The sequence below is a fragment of the Homo sapiens genome, chromosome 1, assembly GCF_000001405.40.
Source record: "Homo sapiens chromosome 1, GRCh38.p14 Primary Assembly".
NCBI lineage: Eukaryota > Metazoa > Chordata > Mammalia > Primates > Hominidae > Homo > Homo sapiens.
Window position 1 is genome coordinate 62,973,351 of NC_000001.11, and position 16,740 is coordinate 62,990,090.

A 16,740-nucleotide genomic window follows, 5' to 3' on the forward strand; every position below is an offset into this window, starting at 1 on the left:
AACTCCTGAGCTCAAGTGACCCTCCTGCCTCAACCTCCCAAAGTGATGGGATTACAGGCATGAGCCACCATGACCAGGCAATTTTTGTTATGTTAAGTCTGTGAGAACATCTTCCTCTACCATTAAAACTAAAATTTTCAACTGATGTTTACCAGTTATTCCCCCCGCCCCACTCGTTTTTTTACAAGCCTGGCAACCAAACCTTAGCCAGGTTAACTGACTTGCTGGTAACAGCTCAAGATTCAAACCCAGGTTGGTCTAACCCCAGAATCTAAGCTCCTAACTGCTGCTCTGCTAAACTCCTTATAAGATGGTATTTTGTTAGAGGTACTAACTATTCCCAGTTGTTTAGAATGATTATATTTTCTTTTAAGCAAATCAAAATGTTTTTTATTGTTGGTGATGGTGATGGTCACTCTGTGCAATGCTTGGAAAAGCCAACCTTGAAAACCTGGATCTGTGGCACCTCCTCTCTCTTTGCAGTTAGACAGGCACGAATTCAAATCCTGACTCACCAGCTCCTGGCAAGTCACTCAACCCCTTTGCTCCTCAGTCTTTTTATCTATTAAATGGGTATAATAATACCCACCTTGCTGGATGACAGGCAGGATTCGAGATAATGAATACTGAGCACCTGGCATGTAGCAGGTTAAAAAGCAGCTGTTGTTATTATTAGCAGGGTCTAGATTGTGTCTGCAAAACCTCACTGGTGAAGACCTCCTCTTTTTGACAGTGAAAGTTTCCACAGTTTGTTGTCACTGTTTTCGAGGCAGGCTGCCTGGGAGACTGGCCACCCCACCCAGCTTCTCCGTTATTGCATCTTCTTGCCTCCCTAGCACAGTTGGCTGCTTGAGCCAGTGGCGGGCAAGACCATAATCTTCCACATTTGTCATCAGACCTGATGGATAGTATTCCCAAGTTAATGCCATAAATGCTGTTTGGAAATTACAAGTCCATGCTGCTGGTGGTCTAGCCAAAAAAAAAAAAAAAAAAAAAGAATTAATTTATAATCATGCATATAAATTTCCTAGATAGTGTTATTATCATTCAGGGGTTGAGTAATGGTGCATATGGGGAGTGGCTACTGGAACAGAAAACCATGTAGCTATAACTTAGTGTAATTCCGATGACAATAGTTACATCTATCACTTTGTTATAAATCAATTGATACCCTGTGTTAAGTGAGGAGGCCTCGCCTCCCCAAATGCATAGGAGGAGTGGCAGAGAGGCTTTGGAGCTTTGTTTAAGGTGTTGCTGGCCATGCTGACTCACGCTGATGGGAAGGCAGAAAACAGATGCTTTGGGAAATTCTTGCGTGGACTCCAAATACCTTGGTCCACTGGACAATGTATCCCAATGTATTCCAATCTATTAGCATTTTAAAAAGTGAATGACATACCTATATCTTTAAAGATAGGTCTTTTGCTTGCATTTAGTCTAAAAAGACTAAATTTTCAGAACTGGAATTATTTACTAATTGAAGACAGGATTCTGATTGAAACGGCATCAGTCCCAGAAGAGCCAGTAAGCATTTGAAGGCCTCTCTAAATGCCATGAATCAGGCAGTGTATCTTTCCTGTTAATCTATATTGGTTCCCTCCCAAAGGCAATTGACCCTGGGGAAAGGTAAAACAGAAGAATCTGAGTACCACTGACCTAGCATGTAACTGGCTTTGAAAGTACACTGCTGGGGAGAAGAATGAGGAAATATCACAGGGAGCAATAGCTTGCGGAGAAAAGACGATGGTTTGAAGTCAGTGGAAAGTAATTTTGCCGAGTGCAGAGTTATCTAGTTAACCTACTGTTCAATCTAATGAAAAAGCAGGGCTATTCTGGAGTGTGTTACAGTATGTAGTTTGTCAATTACCCAATCAGGGGGCATTGCTCATTCAGCCAGGATTGAGGGCAATACCCATACTATTTTATTACTATGAAGCCTCAACTTGGCATATTTTTATATAGACTATAGGGTGTTAAATAGCCATGCAAAACTAGGACTTTTTCATCCTTTCTGGCCTAGGTCCATTGTCTGTGGGCTACATCAGTTTTTGCCACTGCAATTAGGATGTTACAATATGCAGTTTTAAACTCATAAATATATGGGAAGGTAGAAGGTGTAGAGTTATGATGGTCCCTCAGTTTTAAAAAAGGCAGGAACAGGTGATCAGTTTATAAGGAAAACAACCTGAGAGGCTAGGGTAGCTGTCTACTAAAAATCTAGAAGGTGCCTTAGAGTCTGTGGGGGAAAAATCTCCGTTTACAAGCTTCCATATGTATCCTAAAATATCCTTCACCCCCATAGAATTCCAGCCCTTAATAGAAATAAGAGTGCATTTGAAAAGCCTCTTAGGAAAAGCTCTGTTAAATCCATGTTAACATAAAAGCAACTTAAAATCATCCTTGTTTTAAAATTTAATTTAAAATTTAATTTTTAATTTAGGAAGTTCGCACTAAGATTGGTCAACCCTCCAGTTTACAAATATCATTTCAGAGAATACTTAATGTACAACTGCTGTTAATCATTGGGAGTCTTACAAGCTGTTATTCATTTAAAAATGCATATATTTTTATTCTTCTGTTTTGAAGAACATAGTACACATTTCCATAATAAAGCATTTCCCCTTTTGTGCCTGTGATAAGCTGTTCAGTGGTGTCAAATATTTTTTGACTTTGATAAAAATGTATTGAGGGTCAAGATCATCTCTTAATAGTTCACACTTCTATTTAATAACCTGCCTCAATGTCAAAAGACAACCCCATTGTCTCGCAGTTCCAGGAAGTATTATGCGCTGCCGTCCCATCTCCAGATGTGCATCAGACATGTCCATGTTATTCCATATTCGGTCCATTCCAGAGAAAGGCTAAAGGAGACAAAGGGTACGGATCTTGTTAGGTGCAGCCTCTGACACTATCACTATCAATTGTCTTTTGCCGAGGCTGATCATCACCTCAATTATCTAGTGTCCAGCCTACCTGATAGGTTTTTGCAAACTATAACTCTTCTGTCGATGAGCATGGAATAATGACAACGAGGAGCAAATGGACAGAATACAAAAGAGATAAATCCAGAAGTAAAATACGTAAGTCTATCTCCACATATAGACATACAATATGCTTTCAGTATCAAGTGATTCAACATAATGTATAGCTAGTGGTTTTTTTGCAGGCTTATTGAGATTATGCTAATACGCTAAGTAAATTAGATAGAGCTGTTGGTTTAAATGTTTTTCCCATTTTATCATTTCAATGGAAACATACCCAATATTTAAAAATATTGCAATATGTCAAATGAACATAAATATATAGAATTTCCCCTCAAATCATTGCATTTGTAATTTATAGTAAAAACCATTTTAAAGTTAAATAGGGATATTTTGTTTAAGAGAAGATATATTTTTCTAAATGATTCCAATTGAAATTCAATTTCAAACTGAAATCGTGAATCAAGGAGGAAGTAAAATACACTGGTAAAGTATGCTGGGGATCATAGCAGTATGGATTTTTAGCCATACATGGTTCCACACAACATGAGAAAATAGATTTTAGTGCAATATTAATTGAAGTTTTGCCAGTGTGTGGTTCAGGAGGTTAATTTGAAAAGCATACATTACCAGTATATTTATAGCATTTAAATAAATTAAAATTATGCTTCACACATCAATAACGCAGCTGTTAAATAATATTTTTATTCTATGTAAATCCCATCCATTCATCTCAGTTGTATAATAAATGACCATAATTACAGAGCTTCATTGGGAGGAAGGTCATTGGTAATCCTGTAATTCCTCATTGGTGTAAAGAGAGAAAACAGAACTGTTTGTGATGAATGTATTCAACCTTTGCATACTTTGGTACTTTGGACCATGCATTAAAATGCAGTCAGAAATTAAGTTCTTCACTTCCACAGCATTTTTAATCTGCTGTGTTGCATTTTTTTTTTTTTTTTTTTTTTTTTTTTTTTTTTGGTAACTAGGGCCTTCTTGAAGTGCTTCTTTTTGGTCTATACACACACACCACCCCCCCCTCACCCGCCAAATTCAGGCTGTCCTATGTCACCTAAATCCAATTTGAAGTCTTTTCTCTATAAACAATTTCCTTAATTTTCAGTACTTCTTTATACTTCTAAGAGGAAACATGATCTCCACATTCCTCTCAAGCTGCGGCATTCTAAACATGAACTCAAGTTCTCAGTCTTGTTTTTAGATGAGCTCTTCTCTTGGCAGATCTCTATTTTCAGGTCACCAGGGAAGGCATTTAGTAAATTTTTTCCCTTGAAGAATCTTTGGCTCTAACCTGGAAGATCTTTGGCTCTAGCCTGGTTCCCATTCTCCTTTAATGCAAGGATGCAACCTGTTTTTCCTAGAGGGATTAAAGATACATAGAAGTGAATGTGAATGTTAAAAGTAATGGACCAGTGACAAATAAATTACAGAGAAGATAACAAATTAAGACATTAACAAAGATAGCTCTGGTTTAATTTCTCTGTAGACCCTGGGTCCTTCTAACCCTAGAGGCTGTGCATTTTCTCTCCTTTCTAGGAGGAGACAAGGCTTGGGCTTTGCATATGGAAATAAGAACAAATGACTTTTAATTCCTAATGAGAAAAGTATCAACGTGAGCAGTATTCCCTATGTGTGCCATAAGGGCTTATAATTGAAAGGTCTGCGGAAGAAAGGGTTCCAAGCGGAGGGAATTCCTTTTAATGAAGCTTGGATTTAGTCCCATTATTCTAATAAAGTGTAATCAATTGGTGCCGACAATCTGAAGGTCTAGTTCAACCTCTGATTAGATCTTGGTTGTTTTTAAGGCCACAGGCGTGAGGAAGGGAAACACAAGTTAATAGGCTTTTGGGTCAGTGATCCACACTTCCTGAAGCGAGCTGGAGTTCGAAGGAGGGCAATTTGGAAGCTGTCTTAGCATAAATCTAAAGCAAGGCTCTGGCTGTCCAGGGGGAACCAGGCCCTCAGCATTCCCCAAGACATGCTTCGAGCCGATTCTACTCTTAATCCAATTTACTCAGCCGAATAAGTCCCACTGCTTCAGCTTGCCAACAAATTAAAATCCAGCTTCATAAAAACACCTTGAATTTGGAAGGTATTGGCTGGCCCACTAGACTCGAAACTTCATTTATTCTGGCTAACTTCTCAATTATCTTCCCAGCAGTGGAGATGTGTAAAAGTGCAAAAATCAATAGGGTTCTATTCCCATTCTATTGGAAAGGGAAAAATTAATGAGATAGGACACTCTCTTAATCAGAAATAAATGTTTTAATTCAGATAATGACATAGTTTTCCCTCGCTGAAGGATGACAAATGCTGGGCTGCGCCCCCAGCAGAAGCAGTTTCAATTTTATTGTAAATATAAAAGGTATTGATCGGTCAGATGTACAAACCCCATTGCTTACAAAAGCCATTCAGGGGGACTGGGAAAACTATTAAGCACTGGGTCAGAAATCAATAAACAACACTGAAATGTAGCAGAGGTCGCCCTAGGCATTGTGGCATCTTTGAAAGCCAAGTGGCAGGAATAGTGACAGAAATGTCTCTTGTGGAACAATGTTGGGGATGAAGAGGGTCAGATGTTTAATCTCTTCTGTGGTTTGACAGGTCCTGGGAACAGAACTAATGTAGTCTTTCACTGCTGTCTTTGATTTAAATACATGCTGATTCATCCCCTTGCTGACAACTGTATTTATTGGCTTTGGGGTGCCTAAATGTATTGGCAGGGAAGAAATCAGGGCACATTTCCGAAGACAGGGCAGTTGTGTTTATGCAAATGGGCCACACCTTGAGTCCCCTTCTCTCTTTTCAGGAAAAAATAAATAGACACCAAAACTTCTTTTCATCACGCCAATAGTTGGGAATACAAGTCTACCACACTGAACCTCCTATTAGAGCAATTACAAGGAAGATGATAGAGCATGAAGTATTTTTTGTAACAGCTGACTAAATGTAATATTTCTCCTTTTGGGGTTTTAATTTTAATACTCACTTTAAATTCAAATGTAGTATGGGCTTCCTTTTCTCCAGTCCTTTATTAGGAGTTAGCATATTCAACAGTCTCTAGGCCACCCTCCTTTCATATGTGGTACTGGGGGGCAAAGAGTTTATAATCAATCATCATTTTTCCCAACCCATCCTCCATCCCCTAAGGTAGTTTTGAAACTAGATGATTAACCCAGATTAGAGACTTCCCTTACAGTTTGAATGGAATTGGGTTGAAGCTTTAAATAACATGAAGATAGTCATTGAACTAAAACACAGCTTTTATTGCTGAAAATGCCAGGCAAGAAATAGCCAGAGCTGAGAGAAATTACATAAGGGAAGAGATTCTATGCATGTAGGTGGAATCCAATTTTTCTAATAAGACATTGATTTGAAAGGTTTAAAGCTGAGTATTGAAACTTTTAACAACATCATTTCTGAAGCAGAGACAAAGCCTTCTCTCCCCTCCAAAACGCCAGGAGCTGCGCCTTGTGTTGCTGAAGACTGTTCCCCTCTTGACACAGGTATGATTATGAGATTGGTGAGGGTCAGGCTGCCCATCAGTAGGTGAAGTGTTCAGCTGCCGAGGATTTGAGTTTCATCTCACCTCAGATATTATGTCAGTTTCATGTCATTTTCATTCCTGAGAATGATTTGAGAGCGCTCCTTGTCCCCTGTTATTGCGGTCACTTGACCTCAGATGTAACTTCTGTCGAATACCATCATTTTAACAAAGAAGAGGAGTTGCACATCCCTAGCCAAAGCTGACCTTTCCAGCCTGCAGCTCCCCAGATGGCTCTGACGGCAGATTTTACTGCCCCCTCCATTCCCAACAAATGAATGTTAAGGCCTCAATGAATTGGTTCACATTGGAAGTTACAGTTTTTCATTGCCATGAGCATTTTTAAAATTTAATCCCCCTCCCGTCTTTGTATTTGGTCTGTAGTACTGGTATTTTTCTTTTTGCATTTGGATGTTCAAACATGGAAAACTACTTTCTGCTTAAAAACATTATTCTGACCCCCTCAAATGGCAATTCTACCTTTGTCACCTAGAACAGAGATGACACACCTTGATTTCCTGTCTGGAAGATGTGTTCCTTTTTCCCTCACAATCTGTTGCCTCCCTATTCTTGTCCCTTGTCCTTTTAGCACTTTAAAGTTATTCTTAAATTTACAACAGGAAGAAAAGTAATTGGGTCATCATGATTTTCAAAAGCCCTCAAACTAGAATACATGTCCTCATTTCTGGGCCTCTGGGCTAGTTCTAAGGAATTGATAGCCTCATAGTAAAAGGAAGTTTCTTTCTAACAGCTCATATCATAGAAGAAGCTACTGGCTTAAGAAAGTGTAGGGAGCTTATCCCAGGTTACATGGCAAGAGTGAGACACAGAACAGGGACCAGAACCTTTGCTTTCTGAGTTCTTTCCCTACTGTAGCCACACCCAACACCAGTGCCAAACTGTGCCTGAAGCTTAAAAGGCCTGCTCACTCTCACCATATTGCATTAGCATATTAAGTGTGCCTAGTACGGTGCCTGGCATCTAGAACAGGACTGGCAAACTTTGTATGTAAAGGGGCCAGATTGTAAATATTTTAGATATTGCTGGCCACATATGATCTCTGTCATACATTCTTGTGTGTGTATGTGTGTGGGTTCATAAAACCTTTAAATATGTAAAACCCATTCTTGGCTTCTGGGCTGTACAAAAACATGTTGTAGGTAAATTTGGCTCGTAGGCCACAGTTTTTTGACTGATACATGAATTGGAAGGTGCCTAATGTTTGTTAGTTGATTGTAAGACGAATGTGGGGGTTAACTGTTCATTTTAGGATCAGATAAAATGGTTTTAGTGAAAGTGCTTCCGACCCAAAGGCACTTGATAAATGTTAGTAATTATCACCTTCTGGGAGCTTAGTTCAATTGTAGAGTTAGAGCGTGGACCAATGAACCACTGTTTCCATGTTTGAAAAGCACACCCACCTGAGCCAATGTTACCTAAATCATAGTTTTCCATTTTCTTCATGAACCATATGGAATTACCACTGTTGGATCATTTTTCATGTACAAGTATGGCCAACTCCGTGGTTCAACCTAATATGGTCTTCCCACATCACCCAAACAAGTTAATACATGAATGTCAGGCTAAGAGATTTACTACTTTGTATTAGGGAATGTAAGCGATTGTCCTCTTATCCAGGGACACGGCACGAAGAAGCCAAGTTCATTCCCGATGTCATGGGGCCAGCTAAGATCGGGACCTGAGGGCCTTATCACTAGCTTGCCTTCTATACTACAAAAATAGAGTTTGGCAGCACCCTGGGGCACTCCACCACTCCCTCCCCACCCAGTTCAGGATGCCTTTCCAGCTCTGTCATCAATATGTAGCTTTGGTAGGTGTCTGTTGTGAGTTTGGATGCTGGGAGGTAGAGGCAGGAGTCTGGGAATGGAAATAAAATTGGTGACATGTGGGAAATCAGGTCAGATTATGGCCACAGCTCCTTTGCACATGGTAGGTCTATAGTTGATTTAATGATTTGACTTCTGGATTTCTACAACTTAAAGGAGGCCCCAGGCTGGTCCCAACAGCTAATTGAGGCCTGTTCTCATTCCCTGAGTCAGACTGTCCCAGTGGACTCCCCCTTATTTCATCGATGTCATTTCAAAGAACAAATCCTTATGGTTTTAGGAATCTTTCCTCTAAGACATTAGGAAAATTATCCAGACCCTGTCATTTGGCGAACTCTAAGATTCTATAAAGATCTTGCATTCAATTCATGTTTATTTGGTACTCATAAGGTGCTAGGTGCTCTTCAATCCAAATTAATGTTCTTCAACCCAAGTGAGCTTTAACATAAATTCTTCAATACAAGTGAACAAAACAAAGATTCTGGTCCTCTTGGGACTTACATTCCAGTGTCAAGAACAGACAATAAACAAATAAGCAGGAAAACCATCGGGTGGGCTAGATGATGATTAGCTCTCTAGAGATAAGCATGGAAAGAGGCAAGGAGTGAGAGTTACAACTGGCTTCCGTAATCAAGTGACAATTGGGCCAAACTCTGAAGGAGGAGCGGGGGCATCACGCAGGTATCTGCCCAGGGAACAGCACAGTGGTGGGGTGTGCGGTTGCCGGGGCTGTTCATGGAGCAGCCAGGAGACCCATGTGTTTACAGCAGAGTGAACCAGGGGGTCAGAAGTAGGAGTTGAGATAGGAGGGGTTGCAGAGGCCAGATTCTGGGGGGTCTCACCAGTGATTTTCTCAAAACAACGTTTCCTTTGTTCACTGCTGGGTCCCCAGTGCCTCGCCAGCTCCTTGGCACTTCAAGGAGACCCTCAATAAACCCCTTATCTAAAAACAGTGCATGCGCAGGCCACTAAAATGGGTGCGGAAAGGCTTGAATAACTCAGACACAATAGTGGAAGGTTACACCTTAAGATGGCACTTCTAATTTCAGTTTGTGTTTTCTATTTCAATGCAAAATTTATAGAAATACCAGAACAAATAGAACTAAGACTTATATCTCATAAGTTAATATATCCTGCTTTCTTTGGACAGATCTGTTATCTTTTTTATAATTACATTCTTTTTGGGTTTTCTCTTTGGGTTGGAGGGATTATCCTTTTGGTTCTGATGCCCTGCTCATATTTTGGGCAGGTTCCCTACCTGTTCTGCTTCCAGACTGGGTTCCGGACCAGCCTCCTCTGTAGTGTGAGTTACATTATAATTTGCAACACACAATTCGGCACCCGATTTCCAGCATCAGTGCCTTTGTCTAATGGAATCGTGGGCCTCCATGTCCTCTTTCCTTAGTGAGGTTATCAGCTCTTTCGGGGCCGGGCAATGTCTTACACTTCTTGCACATTCCAGGAACAAACTGATGTGGCTGCCATAAATACTGCCAACGGATTTTGATAAACTCATGTGTGTGTGTATGTATGTTAGGAAAAATAGTTTAGATATAATCCTCTCTGGAACCAAGAAAACAGAATATATTAACTTTCAAAATATCTTTCATTTCCTCAGTAGTCGCTATGCTCCATGTGTCTGATCTGTCTTGTCAGGTAGAGAGCCTTGTGGGAAATGCCATTTGCTCCTATGGGGAGGCAGTAGGTATGGTAGAAAGGGCATTGACTTTGGTTTCAGAAGCTTGGGTTGAATCCCAACTCCCTAATCATTTTTTTTTTTTTTTTTTTGAGACAGGGTCTTGCTCTGTCACACAGGCTGGAGTGCAGTGGCAAGATCTCGGCTCACTTCACTGCTGCCTTGACCTCTCAGTCTCAAGCGATCCTCCAACCTCACCCTCCCATGTAGCTGAGACTATAGGCTTATGTTACCATGCTTGACTAACTTTTGTAGCTTTTGTAGGATGGGGTCTCACTATAATACCCAGGCTGGTCCTGAACTCCTGGCCTCAAGTGATCCTCCTGCCTCAGTTTCCCAAAGTGCTGGGATTAAAGACATGAGCCACCACAACCGGCTCTTAGTTGTTCTGTCTTGGGTAAATATCTTAGCTTCCTTTAACCTCTGCTCTCTCATCTGTAGAATGGGGATGGTTATTACCTCTCAAGAATGTTGCAAGAAATGAAAAAATAATGTATGTAAGACAGTGCCTGGCACTTTGTATTTAAGAAATCATAGGTATTGCCAAAGGAATAATGACAAATGGAAACCATAGCAAAGTTTAAAAAATTAACTTAAATAATATTTTTGCTCCTTGACACTCTATCTTCCAGAGAAGATAAATTAGGAGTTAGTATTAACCATCTAGAAACTTCTTTTGTGGATTTCTGGAAGCCATTGGGAGGGGTGGGGTGAAGCATTTGAAACATAGGGATTAGCTTGGGTAAAATATAGTTTAAGAAAACTGGGTGCATTTGGATCACGACCAGTTCATTAAGACTGAAGGTTCACCATGAAAAGGACCAGGTCAGGGCCAAGGCAGCAGAAGTGGGCAGTGGCCACATGCTGAAGACCCTGGAGCTTCCTGCTAAGAAGACAGGATTTTATCCAGTAGGCAGTGGGGAGGCATTGAAGGAGTGTGTTGGTTACCTGCATTTATGACTTTCCCACCATCTTGTCTTTCTTGTGATTATATTGTACGACAATGAACTATTGGAAGTTATCACACTTTTATAGTAGGTCTAAGAACACACATATGATACTGACTTTTGTTAAAATGGGGAGTATTAGCCAGGTGTAGCGGCTCATGCCTGTAATCCCAGCACTTTGGGAGGCCGAGGCAGGCAGATCACTTGAGCTCAGGAGGTAGAGACCAGCCTGGCCAAGATGGCGGAACTCCATCTCTACTAAAAATACTAAAAATTACCCAGGCGTGGTGGCACTTGGGTAGGCTGAGGCAGGAGAATCGCTTGAATCCAGGAGGTGGAGGTTGCAGTGAGCCAAAATTATGCCACTGCACTCCAGCCTGGTTGACAGAGGAAGACTCTGTCTTTAAAAAATAAAAAGGGGGAGTATTTGTATAAAAGCAACAACATAATTTTAGTATTCATGTTCTTTGATGTAAAGTTATATCTTAAATGTCATAGAGTCATGAGATAGAATGCCAGAGATGAAAAGGAATTCAAGAAATACCCATTCTACAATACCTTGCCAGAAGGTAAGACTGAGGCCCAAGAAATTCACCTTGTCCAAGGTGATTATACCACCTGAAGACATGACAGAAGGCTTTGTAGTTGCTCTTTATCACACACTTGTTCTGTTCCAGTCATTGTGCTGGGCACTGCATCTACATTGCCTTTCACTCACAAGGAAAAGGATTTTTTCGCCCATTGTATAGATGAATAAACCGAGGTGCAGATACATCAAGAACACACAGCTTATTAAGTGGTGGTGATCAAATTCACTTTTATCTCCATCTAAAGCCTAAGTTCTTATCACCGTCCCACATGGCAACATATTAAATAGTGAGGAATGGGACGTAAAGTCAGTACTTCTCTCTTCCAGCCACATTTTCCACCTGTCAACCTTCCCCAAAGTTGAGTTCTAATTTAAGCCAGGCCAGCACTGTGTTGGTTACATCATGTTGACCCACAAAGAATTGCTTTTATTGTCTTCCCCTTTGGTGGGCTGTTGATGCTGCAAATTTCTACGAAGGAATAGACCTGTACAGAAGGCATCACTTCTGTGGGCATTTTATTGGAATGCTCTTTATTTCATCACAGAGTAGCCTCATTATGAGGAACCCTGGGTGAAATTCCTGTCTTTCTCAGTTCAGGATTAACTGGGCTTCTCCTAAGAACTCGGCCTGTGGGCATATTGTCTCTTGGATGCTGTAAATGCTGTGACTGATCAGGTTTCTCTTTTTGCACTGGTTGTTAGAGCTGTCTGATCCCAAATGTGAATCCCACCCATTGTGAACAGACAGAACTTTGTGGTATGCATTGCTGCGTTACAGTCTCACTCCTGGCTCAGTTTCAGGTTCCAAGTCCTACATCTTTTTTTCTCATCAATTTCTAATTTGTTCTTCCCTGATCTACTGTATATAATCTGACAAGGAACCTTGAATTGTTTTCAGAACAAGGTGAGGTATAAATAATTAAACAGAAATTTTAATTCCATGTTGAATCTCCAAACCATTTTGTAAAACCTGGTAATGGACTCAACCTGCACAATATTCCTATCGATCTTGACATAAGGAATAAGAAGCTAAGTTATAAACTCCTTACACAGAGCAGTCACCCTGGGAACACTGCAGGACCCAGGTGGGGACATCCAGGAGATGGAACGGTTCCCCACTGTCCCGTCCAAATGAACTAGGATGCCATATCCATCCTACCTAATTAAGGAGTTCTTGAAAACAGGGCCTTTTTCTTGATTTACAAACCCTCCTCATCATCATTTATAGTGCACTGATATGTGAAGGCAGGGAGGAGAGACACTTAAGGGAAGATGGGTATTTCCTTAGATGACATTGGTGAGGGCAAGTGTCACCTTCACACAAGCACCTCCGCTCAGATAGCTTGTTAAGAGTTAGGTGGCAGCGGATGGAACATGCTGTACTTATCGACAAAGCACTGATATTATCCATATTTGTACAGAAATTCAAGGACAGGACATAGATCAAGTGAGCCCAGTAGCATGTCTTTAACATTTGCTAAAAGATAAGCCTGCTGTTGGTTTTGATGCATAAGAAACTAGGGAAATCCAGTTTATTTGGGAAAAGGGTTTTTTGCAGATGTAATTAATTTCAGGATATAGAGATCAGATCATTCTGTATTATCTAGGTGGGCCCTAAATCCAATGACAATTGTTCCTAATAAGAGAAAAGTAGAGGAAGATTTGGGACACACAAAGGATTTCTGGCGATGAAGTCAGAAGCAGAGACTAGAGTTACGCAGGCACAAGCCGAGGGGCGCCTGCAGCCACCAGAAGGTGGAAGAGGCAAGGAATGGCTCCCTCTTAGAGCCATTAGAAGCAGCTATTGCTCCTAGATTTCAGACTTCTGGCCTCCAGAACTATGAGAGAATAAATTTCTGTTGTTTAAGCACTAGGTTTGCACCTTTTGTTAAGGCAGCCCAAGGAAACTAATACAGCCATCAATTCCCTCCAGTCCTCATGAAGCTCCCTTAGACTACAATCTTCAAACCTCCTTCTTCATCGAGTTCATTCCAGTGACTGCATCCATCCCCCTGAAGCTCTCACCCTCCAGCCTGGACTCCTAACTGTGCCCACACTCCAGATTCTCAGTACTGCTCCAGACAGGTGTCAACCCGAAACCCAGATCACCATCCCTCCCTTTTCCCCTCTGTTCCTGCTGTCTGGCAAGAGAAACAAATAACTATGAAGATTTGGCCCCCAAGAGTTCTTACTGTCAAGCTTCAACTTACTGCCCAGGATTAAGAATACTTCTCTTTCATGTGCTTCGGTCAGAAGCTTCCTGATTTAATCTTGCACAAGAAGACTGAGCCTACTGGGTGTAGGTTCTAGAACATTCCCTGTACCCCACATTAAGACATCTTTCTCAAAGGAGGAGATTTCTCTCAGTTGAAAACAACCGTTTACCTGACCCTGATGACCCATTTACCCCCTATTTTGTGTCTCTCCTTTCTTTGTGGGATTTCTCAGGCCAGCCATTTATGCCAACTACCTCCATTTTGTCCTTACTAACAGTTTCCGTAACCCACGACAGTCTCACTGTTTTCTTTACAAATAGGGCTCTTTCTCTCTCTCTCTCTGATTTGTTGCTGGAGAAAATTTGCTTTTTCTTATCCTTAAAAAAAAAGAAATTGCCGGGCGCGGTGGCTCACACCTGTAATCCCAGTACTCTGGGAGGCCGAGGCGGGCAGATCACAATGTCAGGAGGTCAAGACCATCCTGGTCAACATGGTGAAACCCCCTCTCTACTAAAATACAAAATATTAGCAGGCCGTGGTGGTGCACGCCTGTAGACCCAGCTACTCGAGGCAGGGGAATCTCTTGAACCCGGGAGGCGGAGGTTTCAGTGAGCCGAGATTGTGGCACTGCACTCCAGCCTGGTGACAGAGCAAGACTCTGTTTCAAAAAAAAGAAAAAAAAAAAATTGGCTGGGCATGGTGGCTCACGCCTGTACTTCCAAGTTTTGGGGAGGCCAAGCGGGGAGGACCGCTTGAGCCCAGGAGTTTGAGGCCAGCATGGGCAACAAAGTGAGACCCCCATCTCTAGAAAACTTAAAAAATTAGCTGGGTGTGATGGCGCATGTCTGTGGTCCCAGCTATGTGAAAGGCTGAGGAGGGAGGATCATCTTGAGCCCAGTAGTTCAAGGCTGCAGTGAGTTATGACTGCACCATTGCACTCCAGCCTGGGTGACACAGCGAGACCTTGTCTTAAAAAAAAAAAAAAAAAAAAAAAAAAAAAACCCAAAAAACAAAACAATGAATACATAAATGAATAATAAATAAAAATTTCAGCTACTGCCTTGATCTTCTTGTCTCTCTGACAATGACTCCTGGGATATTGCACAATTCCTAATCACCTTTCTTCTCTCCTGCCTCTCTGACTATTCCCTTTCTTTGCTGTCTCCTCCTCCTCCTCATGCCTCCAAGGGTGTCCTTATTGACAAAGCACTGATATTACCCATATTGGTACAGAAATTTAAGAACAGGACATAGATCAAATAGCCCAGTAGCATGCCTTTAACACTTGCTAAAAAGGTAAGCTTGCTGTTAGTTTTGATGCATATGAAACTGTCTGTCTCCTCTTCAATCTTAATACAACTCCTCAGAAAGCTCGCCATTTTAATGACTGCAATAGTCACAATATTAGTCCTTATTCCTAAACTTAGGTGTCCTGTTTCACACCCCAGTGCCAGTCCATGTCATTGCCAACTGGGTATTTTTTACAAAGATGTCTCACATCACCTCAAACTCAAGCTATCCCATATCAAACCAACTTCCCTATCTCGGTTTCCACCACCCAGACTTTTCTTCATCTTTTCCTTCATCATGAGTCTACTCAGATACCTAGTCTTGTCAGCTTTTCCAATAAAGTTTTGCTCATACACTCTCTCTCTTCACACTTTTGCCCGTTCCAGACCTTCATCACTACCCACTTTTCACTATGCAAGGCACTGTCCTTATTTAAACATGCCCCCATCTGCTCCCAGTAGACTGCAAGTTCCCCAAGCACATTCATTTTGGATCTCTGGTGCCTAACACAGATGTAAGCCCATTGAGACTCAGTAAATGTCTGCTGACTGCATGAAGAAATGAATACATAGATCACTGCCTGTATTAGTCTGTTCTCACACTGCTGATAAAAACGTACCCGAGACTGGGTGATTTATGGGAAAAAAAAAAAAAGAGGTTTAATAAATTCACAGTTCCACGTGGCTGGGGAGGCCTCACAAACATGGCGGAAGGTGAAAGGCACGTCTTATATAGCAGCAGACAAGAGACAGAAAAAGAGCCAAATGAAATGAGTTTCTCCTTATAAAACCATCAGATCTCATGAGACTTATTCACTACCAGGAGAACAGTATGGGGTAAATTGCCCCCATGATTCAATTTTCTACCATGGGGTTGCTCTCACAACACGTGGGAGTTATGGGAGCTACAATTCAAGATGAGATTTGGGTGGGGACAGAGCCAAACCATATCACTACTGGAGCCTCTCTTACCTGGTCCCTTCCTCCCTCCCTCAAATTGTCTTGTGATCCCTGCATAATATACTCTTATTCTTAAATCTTGCATTCTTTTAAGATCTTGAAGAGTAGTCGTCATTATTCTTATTTTATAGATTGAGGAAACTAGAAGCTCAGACAGGCTAAGCAACTCACTCAAGGTCCCAGAGCGAGAAAGTGGTAGAGTCTGGATGGAATTCCATGCTTTTTCATTTGGTATGTGCTGCCTCCTTTGGGGCAGTGGTGGAAAATTATGTTGGGTAGAAAATCCCAAATTATACAGGACTTTGAAAGCCAGGTGGAGCAGTCTGAACTTGACCCAGATAGGACTAGTCTTCAGTAACAGAGGGGCGACAGTACATACTTCTTAGCGTTGTTTGGAAAATCGAGGAAAAGCCCATATAATACAAAGCAGCCAAAATAAAGCCACCATTGTAGATTCTCAAAGATGGTAAAGTTATTACTTTTAATGTTTTGTTTGTGCACGTCTTTACTCCCAGCTAGATTAAAAGCTGCTTGAGGGTATGGGCCACAGGTGATATTTTTCTTTTCTTATTTTTATTTTTTTGAGATGGAGTCTCACTCTGTCGCCCAGGCTGGAGTGCAGTGGCGCAACCTCTGCTCACTGCTACTTT

At 41.3% G+C, this 16,740-nt stretch overlaps 1 annotated feature.

Annotated features, from left to right (window-relative positions):
* Positions 4,513–5,863: an enhancer, noted in NCBI's record as "VISTA enhancer hs168". NCBI's record gives its function as "enhancer in: dorsal root ganglion[3/4]" and the evidence as "EXISTENCE:transgenic organism evidence [ECO:0001131][PMID:17130149]".